This window comes from Homo sapiens, chromosome 10, assembly GCF_000001405.40.
Source record: "Homo sapiens chromosome 10, GRCh38.p14 Primary Assembly".
NCBI lineage: Eukaryota > Metazoa > Chordata > Mammalia > Primates > Hominidae > Homo > Homo sapiens.
Window position 1 is genome coordinate 126,550,528 of NC_000010.11, and position 22,368 is coordinate 126,572,895.

The 22,368-nt window shown below is 44.9% G+C and overlaps 1 protein-coding gene across 5 annotated transcripts in view, besides 1 other annotated feature; it reads right to left on the bottom strand.

Moving 5' to 3' along the window:
* Window positions 1-22,368, bottom strand: part of C10orf90 (chromosome 10 open reading frame 90) — a 245,697-nt gene that overhangs the window by 125,531 nt on the left and 97,798 nt on the right. The window lies entirely within an intron of this gene.
* Window positions 10,834-11,590: an enhancer, noted in NCBI's record as "NANOG-H3K27ac-H3K4me1 hESC enhancer chr10:128249930-128250686 (GRCh37/hg19 assembly coordinates)". NCBI's record gives its function as "activates a minimal SCP1, AML or CMV promoter by ChIP-STARR-seq in primed H9 embryonic stem cells {active_cell/tissue: H9 hESC(primed)}" and the evidence as "EXISTENCE:reporter gene assay evidence [ECO:0000049][PMID:30033119]".

A 22,368-nucleotide genomic window follows, 5' to 3' on the forward strand; every position in this document is an offset into this window, starting at 1 on the left:
GAGACAGGGTCTCACTCTGTCGCCCAGGTTAGAGTGCAGTGACACGATCTCAGCTCACTGCAACCTCCGCCTCCTGGGTTCAAGGAATCCTCCCTTCTCAGCCTCCCTAGTAGCTGGGATTACAGGTGTGTGCCACCACGCCCAGCTAATTTTTGTATTTTTAGTAGAAATGGTGTTTCACCATGTTGGCCAGGCTGGTCTTGAACTCCTGACCCCGGGTGATTCACCTGTTCCAGCCTCCCAAAATGCTGGGATTACAGGCATGAGTCACCGTGCCTGACCTCTTTCTGTATTATTTCTTTAAACTGCACATGAACCTATAATTGTCACCATATTTAAAACCTTCAACTAAAAACAATTACAATGCCACTGCCTTTCTCTAAACTAGGATTAATGTGCCTCTCTTCTGTGTTTTCTCCCTCTGAGGATAACAGGGTGAGGACAGAAGGGAGAGGGAAGAGAAAATAATAAATAAAATGGTGGACTTAAGCCCTAACATCTCAATCATTACATTAAATGTAAATGTTCTAAATACACAAATACTCCAAGGCAGAGCCAGCCTTAGAGCTGGTAGTCCTGGATTTAAGTCCTTGGCTTTCACATCCAAGCTGTAAAACCTTGAAGAGGACATTCATCCCCTCCAAGCCTCAGTTCTCTAGGCAAGGGATAATTCAATCTACTTTGAAGGATTGTCTTGAGACTAGAGAGAACATTTGCTATAATGCACTGGCAAATAATAAATGCTTAGTAGCTGGTAACTGTTTCTACCACTACCAACACCTCTGTGTGGACTTGGTCCACTCTGCCTGGTGCAATAATAGATGGAAATATGAGCTCCTCCCCCACTAGACTGGAAAGTCCTTGTGCAATGTACTGGGTCCTATTAATTTGCTTTTCCCCAAGTACACTTCATAGTCTTTCATGCAGTAGATATCTCAGAAACACATGTTGGATTGAATTCCTGAATGGTTAAACATTATATGGGGAGGGAGTGAGTGTGGGAAAAAAAAATTTGAGGCAGAAAAACTGAAGATTAATAAAAAGAATGAAAACAACTCTGTCAAATGCAACCTACTGAATCTCAGCAGATCCAAGGAGCATAAGATTCCTATGCCAGGTGCAATTACTCCATACTTATGTTTCAGACCACAGGCTGCATCTGAGGACATTTTATATATTGTCTCAAAGAAAAAGGCACAGAAGAGAAACCAGTGGTTTACAGCATTAAATCAAAAATCGCTTTCCTTATTGATAAGGGCCTTGCACGCTTGCTGAACATTATCTCAAAAAGGCCTGCAGAATAACAAAGTAGCAGCTATGTGTCCGTTTGTTGGTAAAACCACAAAAAGCATAGCCTACAACTGAATTCATTTGCTAGAACAAGATAGGACCCACTGCCTTTCCAGGGCATTTCAAGTTACTCCTCCCATTTTCCAGTTTTTGGAGATAGAGCAGGAATTACTGTAAAATGGTTAAGAAACTGGGATACTGTCTAAGGTTAGTACCTAGAAGAACTAGGTTGTCAAAATGCCAGTGGGGGTGGAGAAACTTGGGGTAAGAAGTGATTGGTAAAGTTCAGTTAATCTTTTATTGATAGAGCTTTAGGGTCATCAGTGTAAAAAAGCCTCTATAAAAGATTCTTCTTTGAATGTTAGTTCCTTGAGGCAGGGTCCTCATATGTTTAGTTCATTGCCATTTTTCCCATACAGGGAACCATGTAGTATACACTCAATAAATATCTGTTGAAGGAATGAACAGAACAGCTTGCCTTTGTTATCTTTAAGTGCTTCAGGGTACTGATTGTAGCACTAATTGTAGCACTAAACTGTAGCACAAATTTGCATTTGTCTTAGTTAAATCCAGTCGCAGAACAGAAGTCCCCACACTGGTCGAGAACCTCCCTCCACAACACCTGAGGAAACACAGCTGCAATGCAAATGGGCATTCAAGAGAGTCCTCCTGCCAAACAGAGAAGAACTGGACAGGTTGTCCATCATCCAGGCGTTCTCGCTGCAAAGACCAGACTGAGCCCTGCCAGGAGACGCTGTCTTATAAAGGATACTCACCCAAGATGCTATGCCATCCCCACCACCTGCAGCCCGATCGTGTGGCTCAGTGGGCATTTCCTTTCCGCTTTGCCACGTGATTTACCCAGGAGAAAGGAAATGCTGCAGCAGTACCTGCCGCGCATATGCGCAAAGGCAGAGGACGAAGTAGCAAGATCTTGAGCTCTTGCTGCATGGCGGGATAAATTACATCATCTCTCTGAGCCTCAGTTTTCTCATATGTATATTAGGAATAAAACCAATATCTATATCTTAGGGTTATGAGAATTAATGAATGGAAAACATGGAAAACACTCAGAATGCCACTGCAATACACTTGGAGGAAGAAAATATTTCCAACAAATCGTTTTGGGTCTATTAGACATCGGTTGGGGGAAAAAAATGAACCTCAACCCTGCTTCCCATCATAAACACAAATCACTTCCACATAAATAATAGACCTAACTAAGAAAGGTCAAACCAAAATGCTTCTAAAAGAAAACATAGAAGAATATCTTCATGATCTTGGCACAAAGATTTCTTTAAAAGGATACAGAAAAGCTCTGATTTTAAGAGAAAAAAGGATAAATAATACTTAAGAAAAATCAAGAACTTATATTCATCAAAAGATACCATAAGATAATGAAAAATCAAGCCATAAATGGAGAAAGGATATTTACAATACGTATATCTTATGTTCTATTACGAACTCCTACAAATCAATAAGAAAAAGATAGAAAACACAATTTTAAAACTAGGCACAGGACTTAAAAAGGCACTTCATAAGAGAGTATAGCTAGTGACAAATAAGGACATGAATAGGTGCTCAACACCTATTAATCATCAAAATACAATCTTGTACCACATAATGACATTTCAGTTAATGACAGACCACATATATGATGATGGTCTCATAAGATCATAATGATGCTGAAAAATTCCTATTACCTAGTGATGTCATAGACATCATAACATCATAGCACAATGCATTACCTTTCCTACGTATAGATATGTTTAGATACACAAATTCTTAGCCGGGTGTTACAACTGCCTGTAGTATTCAATACAGTCATGCTGTACAGGTTTGTAACCTAGGGGTAATAGGCTGTATCATCTAGCCAAGGTATGTTGTAGGCTATACCATCTAGGTTTCTGTACATATACTCTATGATAGTTCCGCAGTGATGAAAACACCTAACGACACGTTTCTCAGAACCTATCTCCATTGTTAAGTGATGTATGACTGTAAGACAGAAGAAATGCTCAAATTAAAATGTTTGACAATATCAAGTTTTAGAAAGGATGTAGAAAAACCGCAACGCCCATACATTGCTAGTGTGAAGCTAAGGCGATACAGCCACTTTGGAAAACTGCTGAATCTTCTTCCCAAAGATAAAAAACCCTATACCTACCCTCTGATGTAGCCATTCTACTTCTAGATATATATGCAAGAGAAATGGATTAACATGTCCACCGAAGACAGACACACACGCACACACACACAAGAATATTTGTGGCAGCTTTGTTCATAACAGCCACACATGGAAATAACCCAAATGTCCACCAACGGTGGAACAGATAGTGACATATTAACACAATGGAATATTATGCAGCTATGATAAATAATACTTGGCATAGAAACACACTAGAACATGGGTGAATCTGAGACATAATGTCAAGCAAAAGAAGCCAGACCCCAGAGCATATATTACATGACCATTTCCATCAAGTTCAAGGGGCAAAAGTAATCGATTGCAGTAGAAGTAGGAATAGTGCTTATCTTGGTGAGGCAGCTGGAGATAGTAGTTATGGATGAGGAAAGCCTTCGGAATTCAGAAGGTAGGAGCCTTCTGAATTACTGGACATACTCTATTTTGATTTGGGTGGTGATTATAGAAGTATACACATTTGTAAAATGCATCAAGCTATAAGCCACATTTGTGTAGTTTGCTGCACGTATGTGCTATCTCATTAAACATAATGAAAATCCACTAAGCACGGTGCAAAGTGCATAGCAATCACTCAAAAAATTAGCACTCTACTATTTTTGTTAATTTTACTCTCACAGTGATAGAGTCCTCTTCAACTCCATTCCCTGCTACCAACTTTCTCTGGAAACACTGCAGAGGCAGTACAATATTTTTAAAGCTAAAAACGACTTCTGATTTTTTCTTCTGTCTCAGAAAATGTGTATGAAAGTCAAAGACGCTTTTATTCCAAAAGACTCCTCCTGCTGATTATACTTGGGCAAGATAGCAAAATGTATAGCACAATCAAGCCAACATCAAAACAGAGAAGGAAAGAAATGCAGACAGGACAGCTGATTATCAGATGCTTCGAACAACCTGGGCATTGAAGAAGCACTTGCTCCTTGCTTTAATCTCACGACACTCGCCTTCCTCAGGAGTCTTTTAAAATCCTGGAAAATGTCTCCCAGATTTCCCTTTTATTCAGGGAAGACAATCTGATTGCGGTCCACACAAAAGGAGTAACTTCTCAGAGATGTGGCGTCTGCACATTATCAGTAGGACTCCACCTTACAATCAGCAAGTTCAATAAGGAAGGTGGGGTGGTGACATGGTTGGGCCCACCTGACTCATCAGCGTTTCATTCCTTACTAATTCACAACCTGACTTTGGGTTAACCTTGAATGTTTATGGGATAAATGGATTGGGCTTTGGTAGCAGAGGGGTGAGGAGTAGGAAATGAAACAAAAAAATAGAGCAGTATCCAAGTACTAGATCCTGGATACAAAAGAAACTGGAAGAGGTTGATATATTAATTTATATGTCTCATCATACACTGTTTAAGCTAATCAGGCTGGGCACGGTGACTCATGCCTGTAATCCCAACACTTTGGAAGGCTGAGGCAGGCGCGATCACTTGAGGTCATGAGTTTGAGACTAGCCTGGCCAACATGGTGAAACCCTGTGTCTACCAAAAAAAAAAACAAAAAATTAGCTGGACATGGTGGCCTGTGCCTGTAATCCCAGCTACTCGGGAGGCTGAGGCAGGAGAATCGCTTGAACCTGGGAGGTGGAGGTTGCAGTGAGCTGAGATCGCACCACTGCACTCTAGCCTGGGCAACAGAGGGAGACTCTATCTCAGTAAATAAATAAATAAATAAATAAATAAATAAATAAATAAAAATTAAATAAATAAAAAAGCTAATCAAATCCTCCAAATTTACACTTGGGTCAATGCGAGTGGAGTCAGCATCAGATAGAAATGCTGACAGAAGTTGGCAGATGGAAGTCCCTCTCTCCACATGAATGGTTAATTCACTTCAGAAGTTACTTATTCATAGAAATAGAGAGAAATGACTATACTCCGCAAAGATATCACTCTGTCGATGCCAGAATCCATTTCACACTTTAACCTGCCATAAATCTCCTAAAATAAAATGATACAATTTTGGTGAACACCTGTGAATTTGTGAAGTGAGTTGACCTCACGTTAACCAAAATTGGTGAAAAATGTCTGGCCTAGCCTGCATCAGATGATAAACGAGTCTCCACTTTCTGATAGTATCAAAACCAGCTGGTGGTCTGGCATGTGGTCAAGTTACACCAATGTGGGAACCAAAATGGCCGGGGTTGAGTGCTGTGTCCTGTAACTATAATTTCAGGCCCTCTATCAAGACAAAGAAATGGTATCTAAATTGGGATATGCACAATTGCAAAATGTCAACAGCGAGTACTACAGAGGGACAAGGATGCAAGAAGCGAGATGGGAGGAGAGCTGAGTGGGGACTCTGCAAAGGGCGCTCCCTTCTCCCTCCACGTTTAAATAGAACACGGGCAGTTTCTCCCTGTGCTTATCAAACCCAGATATTTTCAGATGCTGTTCTAGCTGCAAACTCATGAAGTGATCCTTGAAATTATATTACCAACAGAAATTTTCCTTCATTGCTTATTTTGATATAATTTCAATAAATGTACGGTATATAAAATTATTTCTTCATTTCCTCCTGATTCTGAAAATGAAATTCAATTTATGAACCAGCCTGTGGAACTCCAGCAGAGTGCAATACACCGGCAGTGTATTGTTGGCTGTGGGACCAGGTCCCCACGGGAGAACAAATCACCCTTTAAGGGACAAGGTAATCGTCAAGTTCATTTCTAGTGGGTTAAATCGTGACCTTGGATTCTTAATCCATAGCAGCCACCCAGACACCCTATTTCTCTGATCTGTTTTGTGGTCTCTGAAAAGGGGCAGGAGAGAGTTCCTGTAGACATCATGAAGTTCAAACACTGTGAACACAGGTTTGTACTCCAAGCTGTGACCTGTGGGGAAGGCAGAAACCTGGAGCCTGAGAGGCAGGCAGTGCTGTGGGCCCCAGCGTTTCTTCCTGAAGGCTCTGGATAAGAGGGGAGAAGAAAGTTGTTTCTATTAGGTTGGTGCAAAAGTAATCGTGGTTTTTGCAATTAATCAATTTAAAAAAAAAAAAAAAAAGGCAAAAACCGCAATTACTTTTGCACCAACCTAATAGGAACTATGTTAGAATGATGGTCTCAGGTGATGAGTCTCTGATGACTTTTTTAAAGTCATGGAATAGTCAAGACATATGGATGTATAATGAATAACAGGTTGCCCATACTCACCATTCAGATTAAGAAATAAATGTGGCCGGGTGCGGTGGCTGACACCTGTAAGCCCAGCACTTTGGGAGGCTGAGGCGGGCAGATCACGAGGTTGGGAGATTGAGACCATCCTGGCTAACACGGTGAAATCCCGTCTCTACTAAAAATACAAAAAATTAGCTGGGTGTGGTGGCGGCGCCTGTAGTCCCAGCTACTTGGGAGGCTGAGGCAGGAGAATGGCGTGAACGTGGGAGGCAGAGCTTGCAGTGAGCGGAGATCATGCCACTGCACTCCAGCCTGGGCGACAGAGCGAGACTCCATCTCAAAAAAAAAAAAAAAAGTTACCAAAAGTCCTCTATACCTTTCCCCCATAACTTCCCCTCCTCAGGTAAACACTGCCCGGATTTGAGGTCTGTCCTTTCCTCAGTCTACTTTGATACACATATACCATTTCTTTAGCAATCTGTGACATCATTTTGCATGTTGCAAAACGTTTACAAATAATACTGTACTGTTCATACCCTGCTGGAATTCTCTGCTTCTGCTCAATATTTTAAATGAGATTCACCCAGGTTAACACTTGTAGCTCTAATAAGTTCCTTTGCACTCCTGTATAATGTGAGTAGGTCACTTCTTTCTGCTCCTTTTTGTTTTTCACTTTCCAAATTGCCTCCATGGGGCTGGTGTTACTTTGACCATCGAGATGAGTTGGGCAAGGGAGAAACATCCTCCACATGCCTCCTCCCGACTCCTCCTAAGTTTTTGCTCTTGGGGGGTGACGGTGTTGAGTCAGGAACCTGGAAGCATTCGCCAGTCCACTCCTCTCCCAGCCAATGATGCAGTCCTGCTGGCAGCCCTCCTAACGCCCCTCAGACTCTGCAGTATCCTCTTCACTCTCCAGGCCTCACAGCAGGAGCCCACCTTTCTTGCCTATATTGTGGTGCTGTATTTGCCCAGCTTTCTCTTTGTCTTGCCTCAGTCCAAGTTCACCTTCATTCATCCCAACTGCTAATATCCCAGGCCAGGCTACCATCATCTCATACTTGTATTACTTTGCCAGTTTCATTACTGGTGAAACTAGACCAGCCTCCAGCCTCATTGTCAGAAGATTTTCTTAAAACAGAAACTTGTACCTGATCAAATCCCCTCCCCTCCACTTTAAAAATCCTTCAGTGACTTCTCATTGTCTTCAGGATGAAATCCAAACCCCGAAGCATGACATACAAGACTCTCCTTGTGATCTGATCCCACCTGGCCAGCCTCATCTCCTAAGACCACAGCCATCTCCTAAGACCGCAGCACTAACGAGCTGTTGAAATTCTGCAGGCGGGCTGTGCACCCCCTCACCTTGCAATGGTTTCCTCTGAGTATGCTTGTTCTGCCTTTCCTCGCCTGGGCAATGTTAGCCACGGGTCCTTCAAGACACAGCTCAGCTGAGCTGAGAAGCCTCAGGAGGCCTTTCTTGAGCCTCCACCCATCTGAGTGGGGCTCCTTGCTCTGTGGCCCTCAGCATCCGTTCCATTTGTGGCTCCCATGTCAAACTCACACTGTTGGAACACTTCTATGTTACTGCCATGGATGAAGAATCCAAGGTCATGATTTAACCCACTAGTAATGTGTCTCTCTTCTTCCCCAACCAGAGTTGGGCTCCCAGAGAGCAAGGGCTGTGCCTTGTACTCTGGATCCCCAGGGCCCAGCTCAGTGCCCACTCTTGGCAGTGCTGGGTAAATGCTGGATGGACTGAATCAGGCTGCCTGGGGAAATGTGAGGGCCACACACCATTAGAAATGCTAAAGGGCAATATGATCTCATTACTGGAATGACTGAGAAGCCAGTACCCTGAACGTGGCTTTCCCACATCACTGAAGTCCATCTCTTTGTGCCAAAAATACTTGCATGTAGTAATTTATAGGGAACATTTTGTAAAACCATTCTATGCCAGCTGATATTTGGCCAATATTCTCTTATATACCTGGCTGTGTTGTTTACAACCACATTTATCCTCATAGGCCAATGCCTATGCCCTGTGGTTGTTAAATATTTTCAATGTCACTCCTTATTGTATGTTTCCTTAAATTTTTAAAGTAAGCAATACAGATGTTTCCAGCATTTCCATGTTTCCATGCATGCTCTGTTATAATGAGCACCTATTCTTACATAGTAAAATCCAGTCAAGGGTTTCTCCTTACATCAGCGGGCCCCATATGGCTCAGCTTTTTTATGGACACCTGATATCCCTTCTATCAATAACATTTGCTCTCATCTGTCATTTCTCAGTTGACGAGGGCAAGTTCTGTGTTTGCAGCAGTGAATATCTCTTACAGTGATATTCAGAATTGTCACTGGGAGCAGGACTGAAGGCAGCCAGGAAAAGCCACCTGCCTTAAGGAGGCTATGGATCCATCCATCCCCACCAACCCCTGACCCTCCCTCCTCTCCTTTCACCTTCTGCCTCCGCCTGGTTGCTACAGGTCAGTGCTGGTGGAATTGATCGGAAGATGGGTACCAGAGAAGCTGGATTATCTCTGCCATCTCTAAGCAGAAGCCTAATCATTTAAAAAACCAACCAAGAAACCTCACCTTGTTCTTATGTGATAAGTACCAGCCAAGTCAGGATACTTTATATAACAGCTTATTTCAGAGGGTTTCCTTCAGCAAGCAAGTCAGGAATATTTTTTCCTAGTGTTTACTAACAGCTCCTAGTCATGCTCAAAATACTTGCCGGAAATTCTACTGAAATTAGACCCTCAAGAGTTTCAGAGAAAATGCAGCATGACATTATAAATGATAAATAATGTGAAATTAGACACCGCGGAGAACTGCATATTTGGCCGTTTCAAGTTCTAGGCCTCTTTCCTTTCCTCTCATAAGAGCCAGCTTATGTGGAGGTAGGCTGCCTGAAGGTTATACATTTTCAGTTTATAATATCTGCTCTTAACAATAAATATTATATTTCTATACAACTGCTCCATTGTTCCCCCCAACAAATCTCACTAGACAGTTCCCCTTGGCCAGCAAGAATTACTTTCAGAAGGAAATAATCCCCGCAACCTCAGTGATTTGTAAGTGGGTAAGACTCAGCCTAAGATGAAAACACACCAGTGATCCGAGTCTTCATTTTTAATTTCAGCATTCACTTGCAATAGGAGGAAAACCAAATTAATTTTCCACTTTACTTCATTGGCAAACTATTTCTCACTTTGCTGAAGGTTCGAGGCACGGTGATAAATGGTGAATAATAAGCTGCCGACGCGCACGGTGCATGGTTGGAGGCCCTGAGACTTCATCTTAATGGGCAGTCCTGTCCCACCACCAGGAAGCCTCGTCACTGTGTCCAGTCCTGACTCACAATGGCCTTCAGGGCCATTGGAGGGCATAGGTCTCAAACCAGAATGACCCCATGGGCATCATCGAAAATGTAACCCTACTAAGAGAGCCCCAGCACGGTGCTTCTTTAGTGACGGCAGAGGAACCAAAGCCATCCCCATGGAGACGCCTGCTCTTCTGTGCTAGAGGTCAGCAAACGTCTTCTGAAAGGGCCAGAGAGTCAATATCATAGGCTTTGCAGGCCATGCTGTCTCTGTTGCTGCTACTCAACTCTGCACCATGGTGTGAGACCTTCCCTGGATGATATGTCAACCAATGGGCGTGGATGCATTCCAACAGAATTTTATTTCTGGACATTGAAACGTGGATTTTGTATAATTTTTGCATGGCATAAAAGATTATGCTTCTTTTAATCCATTTTAAATGTAGAAAACATGCTTAGCTCAGAGGTCTTACAGAATCAGGGAACCTGATCTTCTAGGACAGTATCTATTCACCCTACAAAGCCTATGTTGGGAGTACATCCCTCTAGCTGTTTGGATGAAACCAAACTCTCACAGGTAATTTAAGACACAAGTACAATGCATCCCTCCACTTCCTGTCACTGGTTTTTACCACCTGCTCGCAAAGAGGTGGTCAGAGTGGACAAACAATTCAGTCACCATGTGCAGCCAAAGGTACCATAACAGCTGGAAAAAAATCAGGAGACTTCTGGAAGAATCTTTAGAAAGTACACCAAGAATATAATTCATAACCTGCCGCTGTTTCCAAAGTGTGGGCCCTCAACCTCTAATTAATCTTAATAGCACTGCTGACTGCTTCTGCTCTTGGTATCATGATGAAAATTCACCACACATTTCATTCAAGCACACGTGAGGCTTGAATACCTTAGAAGAGAGTGATTCCATGGAGATGAAATTGCAAAGCGGCAAGCTGGCTGAAATTCTGCAGCTCACAGAGGAGACTGTGGGTGTGAAATTGTAGGCAATTACATTTTATCACTGCTACACAAGTTTCTGCTGAATTCATTAAAATTTGCTCCCAGAATCGGGTTGGAGGACTGTGGAATTCCGATGACAAAAACGAAAGCAGATTTTCACTCTCCGTGCTGCAGGAGCCACAGAAAGTCCGCAGTGCAATGAGGTTTGGATGTGACTGAGAAATGTCATCTCCTGGAACTGCAGCTGCAAATTAAACAAGGGACTCTCTCACAGAAACAATGACTGCATTCCAAGCAGAGAGAATCAGGGAACAGAGAGGACAGGCAAACAGTGGACAGTTGTGTGCCTGACACAGAGGGAGCAGGCCCCTTTCCCCGGGCCCCGGGTGGCCTGCTGAGCGCCAGTCAACACCTCCAGACAGGAGCACAGGAAGAGAGGAGAGGTGTAAATTTGGAAGTTAAGTTAGAAAGAACCCCCCACTGAGAGATGAATTAGAGATGCAAAAGCTATGACCAGAAAGGTCTTCCTAATTAGAAAACTGAGGAAAGATCTTGGGCCTGACATGAAGCGTTCATTTTGGCTTCAGCACCTCAGCTGGAGAGTCCTGGGTGCCGCCCTCCCGCTGAAGTGCTGACAGCGTTCTCTCCCCTCTGCCCAAGTGGCGACAGGCTGCCCAGAGGCCACTGCAGGCCCAGCAGCTTCCTGCCGGCGTTAGTTTATCCAGAACCTCTATGAGCATGGCCCAGAGGGTCCCTAATGGAGGGAGAATGCGGCCCTCATCTCACTGCTGCGTGCACGTGCTAGCATCTGCCAACTTCCCACATCCAAACTGATTTGCCTAGCCACCCCCTGCCCTCCCTTACCCCCTGCCCTCCCTTAGACTGTATGGAAGCCAAGTCCAAAGGCTGGGCCTCTCCCTAGAGTGGACATCCACAACCAACACTCTGCCTTCTTCCCTCACCAAGACGAACCTGCTAACCACACAGGCAATGAGACATTCCTCTTAACAGAATCCCTCATTCCTGCAGATAGCATGAGACAGAACAGTCCCAGACAAGCCAGCTGGAAATCCAGTCTCCATTAATTGCTACCTGTGGCACCCTGGGTGGCCCAAGTGACCTTGCTGATATGCAGATTGTCCCACCTGTCAAACGGGCACAGAGCAATCTGCAGACGCTCAATGAGCAGTTCCTCTCCCTTCCCTGGGATAGGACTATTTTGGATTCTGAAGGCACAATCAGTTTTAATGGGCACCAGTTGTGTGGTTACAGACAATTCTCCTATAGCCTGCTGCTAAGAGGCCTATAACCCACCTGACAGTCAGCAATATCCAGGGAGCAGAGCCTGCCAGAGCTCCCCAACCAGGACAGTAAAACCATCAGGCGAGCCCCTTCTTTCACAATTTACCAAATGCACATAACCCCATCTGCCAACCTGAGGCTGCACTCGCACACAGCGCAGAGACCAAGATTCCCAGAGGAAGGGTGTCTGACTGAACTCACTTCTCCCAGCCACCGGCAGTGGCATGCTGCCACCCACTCTCATGGGCTGGGCGGAGGGACCCACGTACATTGCTTTCCATGGCTGTGCAGGTGACATCACACATGCACATGATGTCACATTGATGACTTGAAACCAGCCCCGGAGTATTTACACCACAGAAAGTGGCAAATGCTACAACTCGGGGCAAAATTCCCCACCCGCACTCCAGCTGGTTGTTGTTTAAAGTGACCAGCACATGCTGGGCACGTCCACTCACTGCCTTGGGCCCCAAGAGGGGAGTTCATTGGCACTGCAGTAGCGTGGGGCTAAAGAGGGGCCACTCGTCCACCGCACGCCTGCCACCCCCACCCTCACACCGCATCTGGCCTGTGACAGAATGAGCCTTGAGACCCCAGCTTTTACCCCCAAGATGCAGTGAAATAGATCCTGGGCAGCCCAGGCCAAGCCCTGCCTTAGCTTGATCAGGGTTTAACCAGAGCCATAAATGGCCACATGCAAAGCTCCTGTGGTCACTGGGTGTGCAGCGTGGGAAAGAAGGGCTCTGACCTCTGGAGCCTGTTTTTCTATCTATAACAAAAGGACAATCACAGTCAAATCCTTAGAGGGTTTGTGTGAGGATTCAAGGGGATTATTTGTGTGAAAATGTGTGGACCACCTGGTGGCCGTGAGCCCAATCCACATTGATGGCTGTGATAGAGGTGGCTATGATGAGCAAATATCCTGTCTGCCTGCTCAGCAAAGGGATCTGTGAGCACTAAACATAGGAACACAACCCATGGTATCCTGCCTCCAGCGTTTGCTCATTTGCCCACTGTGAAACTATTTGGTCCTGAGGCCAGAGGAATTGGCGGCGGCAGCTGATGGACATCCTGCACTCATTAACCAACACCGACCGAGGATCAGCCAGTAGCAGCCCTGCCTTCAAGTGGCTCACAGTCCTGTGCAGGGCCAGATGAGTAAAGGCCATGACCACGGAAGCTGAGAACAGGCGTTCTCAATCTCAGCACTGCTGACCCCTGGGGCCAGAGCAGTCTCTGCATGAGGGCTGTCCTGTGCCTTGTGGGAAGTTAGCAGCATCCGTGGCCTCCACCCACTGGATGCCCGTAGTCCCCATCCCACCCCAGGTGTGAAAACCACAAATGTCTCCAGACATTGCAAATGGCTCCCACTCGCTATCTGTCTGCTTGGGGAGACATGGACCAGGAACAGGGCTCTAGACCACAGGCCCTGTAGATCTGCAGGCTCGGAAGAAATCCGGAGAAGCATATGCCAAAATGTCAGCAGCAACTTTCCTCTCCACGCTGAGCATTTTAGTCTCTGTGGGCTTTGTAACCATCCAGATGAACATCAAGAATGGAGACCCAGCCCACCAGGTTGTGGTGAGCACAGAAGAGGGTCTAGAAGTGGTGACTCTAACCTGGGTCCCAAAGGCAGCAGCAGCAAAGTCCCACTGTGGGTGCCATCCTCCTTCCATTGCAAACACAAACCAACAGCCAAGCCTGCAAACCTTCAAGGAACAAACAGCTTGGCTCTCAGAGGAGGCCATAGTCTCATCCAAGCAGCATGTAGCCCGAGTCCCTGGAGTTTGTGTCCTGGCGCCCACCCAGTGTGAACCTTGCCTTCAACAGCAAAGAAAGGGCCCACCTTTTGCAGCCTGGAGAAGTTCCCAGATTGAAACCATAGCAACCTCCTCCATCTCATGTGGAAGTGGCCAGCCTTGCTCCACAGCCACCCAGACACACGACTGGCTTTGGGCTTCCTTCTCTCTGCCTCCTACATATGTGTGGCCTGACTACTGAGTGTCCTTCACTCATCCCCACCCTCCTGAAGGCGTCCAATTAAAGACTGAAATGAAGACCTCTTTGCATGACTCAATTACAAGTTTAGGAATAAGACTCTCTCTCTCTATATATATATTATATATTATATAAAATATATATTATATATAATATATAAAATATATTATATATAATATATAAAATATATATTATATATAATATATAAAATATAAAATATATATAATATATAAAATATAAAATATATATAATATATAAAATATAAAATATATATTATATATAATATATATAATATATATTATATATTATATAAAATATATAATATATAATATATAAAATATATATTATATATAATATATAAAATATATATTATATAATATATAAAATATATATTATATAATATATAATATAAATATAATATTAAATATGTAATATAATATTTATATTACATATTATGTAATATAATATTTATATTACATATTATGTAATATAATTTTTATATTACATATTATGTAATATAATATTTATTATATTATATATTTATATTATATATTATATTATATATTATATATTTATATTATATATTATATTATATATATTATATATTTATATTATATATAATATATAATATATAATATATATTATTTTATATAATAATATATATTATATATATTATATTATATATAATATATATTATATATATTATATATATTATACACACACACACACACACACACAAACTTGTGCATCAGTCAATTTGCTGTCACCCTCCCTAAAAACAAGGCACTTGTAGAACACCGAGCTCTGCTTTTTAAAAATGCCCTTCATTATTAGCATCTGGAAAACTGGCACGTTTCCAGTGAAACGAGAAACTTCGCACTCTGCGGTCCAGGCTCTGCACTTGTGGTAGCTTAAGGAACTTCAAAGCTCCTTGTTGTTTGAACAAATTGGAAACAGAAAACAAAGGATGAAAAGAGGCCATCCCCATGCAAGAACTCTCCATCCAGGAGGGGAGCAGAGTCTCATCAGCCTTTGATGTGGCCCAGTGGCCACATTCCTCTCTCAAAGCTCCAGATGCTGGTCGCAGCATCCTCCACCCGCTGTTTTGAGACTGAGTGAACCACCTCTCAGATGCTGTGCTGCACATGCAAGCAAATGCACCTAACAGCATGTTACTGGCCACTGAAGACATGATGGTTAGCCCAAATAGCGCTCCTCCACGTCCCCTTATCATTTCCATATTCACAAAGAAGATCATTTTCCTGTGTGCAGCTCTGGCTATTTTCAGACTACCCTATTGTCATTAGTTATGAATTTTCCACTATAGTCCTGTGAGTGGGCTCATTGCCCAGCCAGGTGTAGGACTGACAGGCAGGCTCTGAAGCCAGAAAGCCTGGCATTTATGCAAGGATAACCTTGGATAAATTATTTCACCTGATCCAATTTGGTCTCCTCACCTTCTAAACATTCACGATCATGATACTTACAGATGGGGTTATAGAATGGATCAAATGGAGGTAGCTATGATTGAAAGACAGTAAGCCAACACGTGATGTTATTAGTTTTCAAAGTAAGCGAATATTCATTAAGGGTCCCCTATGTGTCAGGCACTGTGCTAAGTCCTGGAGATAAAACAGTGAAGAAAGTGGACTGAATCTTTACTCAGAGGAAGAGTATAGGCCTTCAGGGAACAAGAAAGAAAAACATCAAGAATTACCGCCAGTTTCAGTGAGTTCCACAATGGAAACACAAGGGCTGCAATGAGGGATACTGGGGCAGCCTTGCTGGAGTGCACAGGACCAGGCTCCCTGAAGAGCCACCTGAAAGGCGAGAAGGAAGGAAGCCACCGGCAAAGAGAAGGCAAAGGGTATTCCAAGGGCTGGTGCAATAGCCTGGGCAGGCACCTTGAAGCAGGAAGGACGTCGGTTGAGGTTGAGGACCAGAAAGAGAACAGTGAGACTGGAGCTGGTGCCTGTGGGGCAGTGGCATGGAGGACCACAGGTGCTGACCTTTTAGGAAAAGCACTTTTGCTTTTGAGTGGAGGATGGACCAGGGAGGGGCAAGAGCGGAGGCAGCGAGACCAGTTAAGAGGATACATCTGGGAGGCAGGACACACAGGACTTGATGATGGAGCACACATCGGGAAGACAGGTGGGGGAGGGACTTTAAAATGACCTCTAGATTTCCTACTGAGACCGGAAGCCCAGGGAGAAGATTTGGGGGCAAGAGGAGAGGAAGTGAAAATTTCCATTTAGACACACCCATACTGAGAGGCGTATTACCCACCAAAGGTGGCCCTGGGTGGGCCATTGCCTGTGAACATGGAGCTCAGAGGGGACCCTGCGGGGAGCCACAGCTGGGTGCCCTGGTCATAAAGAAGTAGTTACAGCCATGGGGATTGTATTAGTCTGTTCTCGCATTGCTATAAAGAAATACATAAGACTGGGTAAATTGCAAAGAAAAGAGGTTTAACTGGCTCACGGTTCTGCAGGCTGGGGTAGCATGGCTGGGAAAGCCTCAGGAAACTTTCCTTCATAGTGAAAGGCGAAGGGCAAGCAGGCATGTCTTCACTTGGCTGGAGCAGGAGGAAAAGGATGAAGGGGAAGGTGCTACACACTTTCAAACAACCAGATCTTGTAAAAACTCACTCAGTATCATGAGAACAGCAAAGGGGAAATCCACCCCATGATCCAATCACCTCCCAACAGGCCCCTCCTCCAACACTGGAGATGACAATTTGACATGAGATTTGAGCAGGGACATAGATCCAAACCATATCGGGAGGCATGAGACCCTCTTCCCCCACCCCCGGGAGATTTGCTCAGAGAGGAGCAAACCCACAGCTGGGTTGGCTGAAGGAGGGTAACCAGCAAAGCAGGGTCGGAAGCCCTGGAAGGTGACCTGGAGGAGACCACAGAAAGGGGTGTCCTTGAGCCAGAAGAAGATCGAGACTCGACTGCATTCTGTGCTGCTAGGAAGCCAAGCAAGGTGGGGACACAGAGGTGTTGTCACTGTGGACCTTGTTAGAGCAAACGCCAGACTGGAGCAGGTGGAGAAGGGGGACAAGGGATGGGGGATGGTGCCCCCTCTGAGAAGTGTTTCCAAGGGAGAAGAAGCCTCGAGTGGCACCTTGAGAGGGAGGAGTGACTAGGGAAAGATATTTGTAAGATGCGGCAGGTTTGTATGCTGATGGAAATAATCCAGGAGAAGAAATGAGTGGTATTGTTTATTGTACAAGAAATGGGAGAAAAGAGAAGGAGAAAACCTCTGGGAAAGGAGAGGAAATGGAATAGAAGCAAAGTGGAAGCTTAGGCCACTCCCTAAGCTTAGGCCACTTCCTAAGCTTAGGCCACCTAAAAGGTGGGCAAATCTCCACAGCCAGAGGGAGGAGGCAGTAGTTTTCTGCTGCTGTCTAACAAAAAACCACAAATGGAGCCCTCAGAATAGCACATGTTTATAACTCACAGGTCCCTAGCTCAGAAGTCAGGCCGGACCCAACCGGGCTCTGTGTCCAGAGTCACACAAGGCTGGAATCAGCCCGTTAGCCAGGGCTGGTTCTCATCTGAAGCTTGGGATCCTCCTCCCAGCATTTTCTGTTGCTGGCAGAATTCAATTCCTTGTGGTTGTAGGACCACCGTCCTTATTTCCTTACTGGCTGTTGCTGGCCAGAGAATGCTGTCTGCTCCTAGGGGTCTCCCTCAGGTCCTCACCATATAGCCCCTCCGTCTTCAAAGCCAGCACAGAATCCCTCATCCTGAACATCCCTGACCTCAGGAAGGGCAGGACCTTTTCATGGGCTCACTGGTTTAGTCAGACACACCCTGATAATCTCTTTCGATTAACTCAACCTCAAATGACAAGTAACCTAATCATGGGAATTATATCCTATCACATATTCGTGGGTTCTACCCACACATAAGGCATGGGGATTGTGCAGGGCTTGTACCCAGGGGTTCAGAATCTTAGCATTCTGCCTACACCAGATAGAGGGAAAAGACAGCCAGACAGAGGTGCTTTAGGAGGCTCAGAGTGGGGAAGCCAAGGGGCTCACAGCTCACAGTGCCATTTCCCAGTGTAACTGGAGAGGAGTTCACCTGAGAAGGCAGGAGGATCTCCAGGAGGGCTGAAGAGTGAAGACAAGGAGGTTAGGGCATGAGGATCTTAAGGACGGTTCAGGAATGAAGACAAGGAGGTTTAGGGCACCTCCCAGCCAAGGGATGAGGCCGGGCTGGCAGGAGGAGGTCTGGAGAGGAAGATGGGCACCAGAGCCCTGCTGGGGGCAGGGCTGGGGTGAAAGCAGGGGCAGCAGCCCGGGGGCAGGGTGCAGGGTGACGTCAGCTGGCAGGAGGGTATGCAAGTCAGGCTCTTCAAGAAGGGAGGGAGAAAGAGTCTGGGAGCAGTAGTGGGGGGTTTCAGGGAACCAAGGACACCGCCTCTAATTCCAAGCGTGGCTGCCAGGGGTGGGTAGCCACAGGGTGGCCACTTTGAGAAGGAACTGGTCTATGATTCCTGAGGGCTCTGGAGTCCCAAGAGAACCTCTTGTTAGTGCCACATTTGATAGAAAAAATGCAGCTCTTTCTGGGGCCCCACGAGATTCCTGCCTCCTTTATTGCAGCACAGATCCTTACAATAAACTGTCTTTATGGGGAGGAGCATGAGTGAGTCTCTCTTCCTTATAACCTGTAAGGTCCAACTCACCCCAACACTTTATGCTAAGCAGAGAGAGACCAAGAGAGACTGGACCTGCCTTTGAGGGTTCTACAGTCTGATATGAACCCACAAATAATCATCACATACATCAAACCCAGGCAGGCCACAGTTGGGGTATAAACCAAGTAAGTATCTTGGCAATACATTTTTGTAAAGAGATGAGAAAACGAAAAATTAGAAGCAGAAGCCAGGGTGAACAGAAAGAGGGTGTGTCTTGGGAAAAGAACAAGATGGGATTTACTGGAAGTGTGGAGTCTTATCTCTCAGCACAACCTGTTGGGTGTCTATGGCCAATCTATGCTAATGGCTCTCAGTGTTATAAAAGAATAGCCAACCAAAACATGGAAAATAGCTCTTCTGATTGTCCCTAGTAAAATCAACCCAAGGCACAGGGTAACAAAGTTTACAAGGGACCCCAAAACTCCTAAAGTGTTTCTGAACTGTGGAGAAAGCAGGTTGTGTGTCACTTTCAAGCTTAAAAAAGAAAAGAAAAGAAAAGAAAAACAATGCTGCTTTTTAGCTGGTGACTTCACAGCACATTCCATGGTGACGGTACTAAATGATTCATCGTAATCCTTGTGAACCAGAGGCAACAGCATGCAATCTAAAAGAAATGTCTCTTTAAAAATTAAATAAAGCAAAAATGCTCTGCGGGTGCTGGTGTTACACTGCATGCTGAGCTCTGCGCTGATCGTATTCTCCCACGTAATTGCAGCCCCTGGTTTATGCTGCACTATCTCTCTGCCTTTGATTCCCCTGCACAGTATGCTTTATGCCTGCGACTCAGAAACTCCTTGGGGCCCCTGCCCCCTTCATTAAGGTTTATGTCAATCAGTAAAGAGTTATGTGCATTTTCAACAGTGCTGGCACACAGTGGACTTTACGCACTGCCTAACTTTCTTCCTTTAACTTCCCACCAAGCCAGTGTGCTCTCTATGTTTCAGGAGTGAAACGCATTTACATGAACCCCAAGCAGTTAATATATTATGACCCAGTTAGCACAGTTTTACTTCACGGTACTATAATGTAATGCTCAATGATTTTTAAGCAATAAAAGGAGGGACTTTAAAACTTAATTAGGAAAATTTAGACCCTACAGGGTTCGTAATGAGTTTTTGAAAATTTTGGAGTAATGCACTGAGATTCCTGATATTTATCTCATGGGAATCTCAGAAAGGGTTTTTTGAGCCATTGTAAAATCATTCTCAAAGCAACTATTTCTTAGCCTCACTGAAGGTATTTTGCTGAAAATAAATGAGAAACCAAACAAGAATGCCACCACTTCTACGAGAAGCAAATCCCATATTACTATTCCATTTCTGTATTCTTTGGGGAGGTTCCTAAATATCCCCTATGTTTCATGATACTAGGCCACAGCTATGCTCTTTCTCACACTTCCAATCCAGTCTTTCAAAATAATATGATCTCATTTAAAAGAAAAAAAAGTGAAACTATTTGAGTCATAATGGAACCCGTATCAAGATCCCAGAAACATATTTTCTCAATGCTCCCTGCTGCAGCATCTCCACAGACAGCAGTCTCCAATGCCATTTCCATCCCATCCATTTCACAAACCTGTGCTCAGCCCACAGCTTTATCTACTTCCATTAAATAGATGTGCTTGCCGCAGGAAATTGCCATGGAAATAAATGTTAGGTTTGGCACCAGTTCCTTTTAAAGAAGCTGCAATTGGAAACGTAAACGCAGTGAGAAGATGCAGCCAGTGAGAGCAATGCACCCAGCTCCTGACCCACGAGGTCCTTCTGGGGACACTGAGACTTCTTTTAGAAGTGAGTGTAATGCAGTCACTTTTCAAAGACAAGAATCATTCATTCTTGACCCGGCAGGGGGCTCCCACAAACTTGTCCAGGCCAAAGGGCAGGTGAGACTCACCAGGGCAACGATTTGTCTCAGGAGGACTGGCCCTGAGCCCGGTGGCCCAAGTCACCCAGGAGCAGCGCAGTTGGGAACCTGCAGGGCTGCTCCTGCAGCAGAGACTCCTAGCAGCCAGGGCAGTCAGGGACAGGCTGATTACCTGTTGCTCTGCCACTGGGAAGCCTCCAGGCATACCTGCACCCTGGAAGGATGCAGAGGGAGGAGGCGGCACATGAATAATGAATATACTCTCACCTTCCATCATTAGCATTCCATTCAAAGGACGCAAATGAGGCATTCATTTCTCCTCCTGGCTTGAAAGGAGAAGTGTCTCCGGGAATAAGCAAGTGGGACCTGGGGCACTGGGTGGGTTGAGGGGGAAGGTAGACCACCCACTGGGGTTGACTTTCCCACTCACCCTTCAGCAAGGTGACAGTTCACCACCAGGACTGGAAATAACATTGTCAGAGAACAGAACCTGGGACTCCAGGCGTAAATAAACCCAAGACCTCAGGCCACTGGCTACCAAACCTCAAGGGGCACCAATCACACCTAACAATGCAGGTAGTCAGGCCTTATACACTTCCTGGCAGGACACCCAGCACCTGGAATCCCTGTCCTCTCAGAGGAAGTCCCTGCTAGAGGTAGTGGCAAAAGGAAAACCTCAAAAGGCCTTCTGATGCCCTGGTCCGGCATCGATGCTTAGTACATTTGTCAGAGGCATTTGAACCACAGCAAGTCCATCTTGGATAGGACCTGGGTAAAATAAGGCTACGACCTGCTGGGCTGTATTCCCAGGAGGTTAAAGCATTCTTAGTCACAGGAGGCGATAGGAGGTCGGCAGAAGATACAGGTCATACAGACCTCCCTGATAAAAGAGTTTGCAGTTAAGAAGCCTGCCAAACCCACCAAAACCAAGATGGCAATGCGAGTGACCTCTGATCATCCTCACTGCTACACTCCTGTTACAGGAAACGGGTCCTGATCCAGATCCCAAGAGTGGGTTCTTGCATCTTGCGCAAGTAAGAATTTAGGGCGAGTCCACAGTGCAAAGTGAAAGCAAGTTTATTAAGGAAGTAAAGGAATAAAAGAATGGCTACTCCATAGACAGAGCAGCCCCAAGGGCTGCTGGTTGCTGATTTTTATGGTTATTTCTTGGTGATATGCTAAACGAGGGCTGGATTATTCTTGCCTCCCCTTTTTAGACCATATAGAGTAACTTCCTGACATTGCCATGGCATTTGTAAACTGTCATGATGCTGGTGGGAGTGGAGCAGTGAGGACAACCAGAGGTCACTCTCCTCACCATTTTGGTTTTGGTCAGCTCCTTTACTGCAACTTGTTCTATCAGCAAGGTCTTCATGATCTGTATTTTGTCCCGACCTCCTATCTCATCCTGTGATTTAGAATGCCTTAACTGTCTGGGAATGCAGCACTGTAAGTTTCAGCCTCATTTTACCCAGCTCCTATTCAAGATGGAGTTGCTATGGTTCACATGCCTCTGACACTCCTACCAGCACCATGACAGCTTACAAATGCAACGGCAATGTCAGGAAGTTACCCAATATGGTCTTCAAAAAGGAGGCAT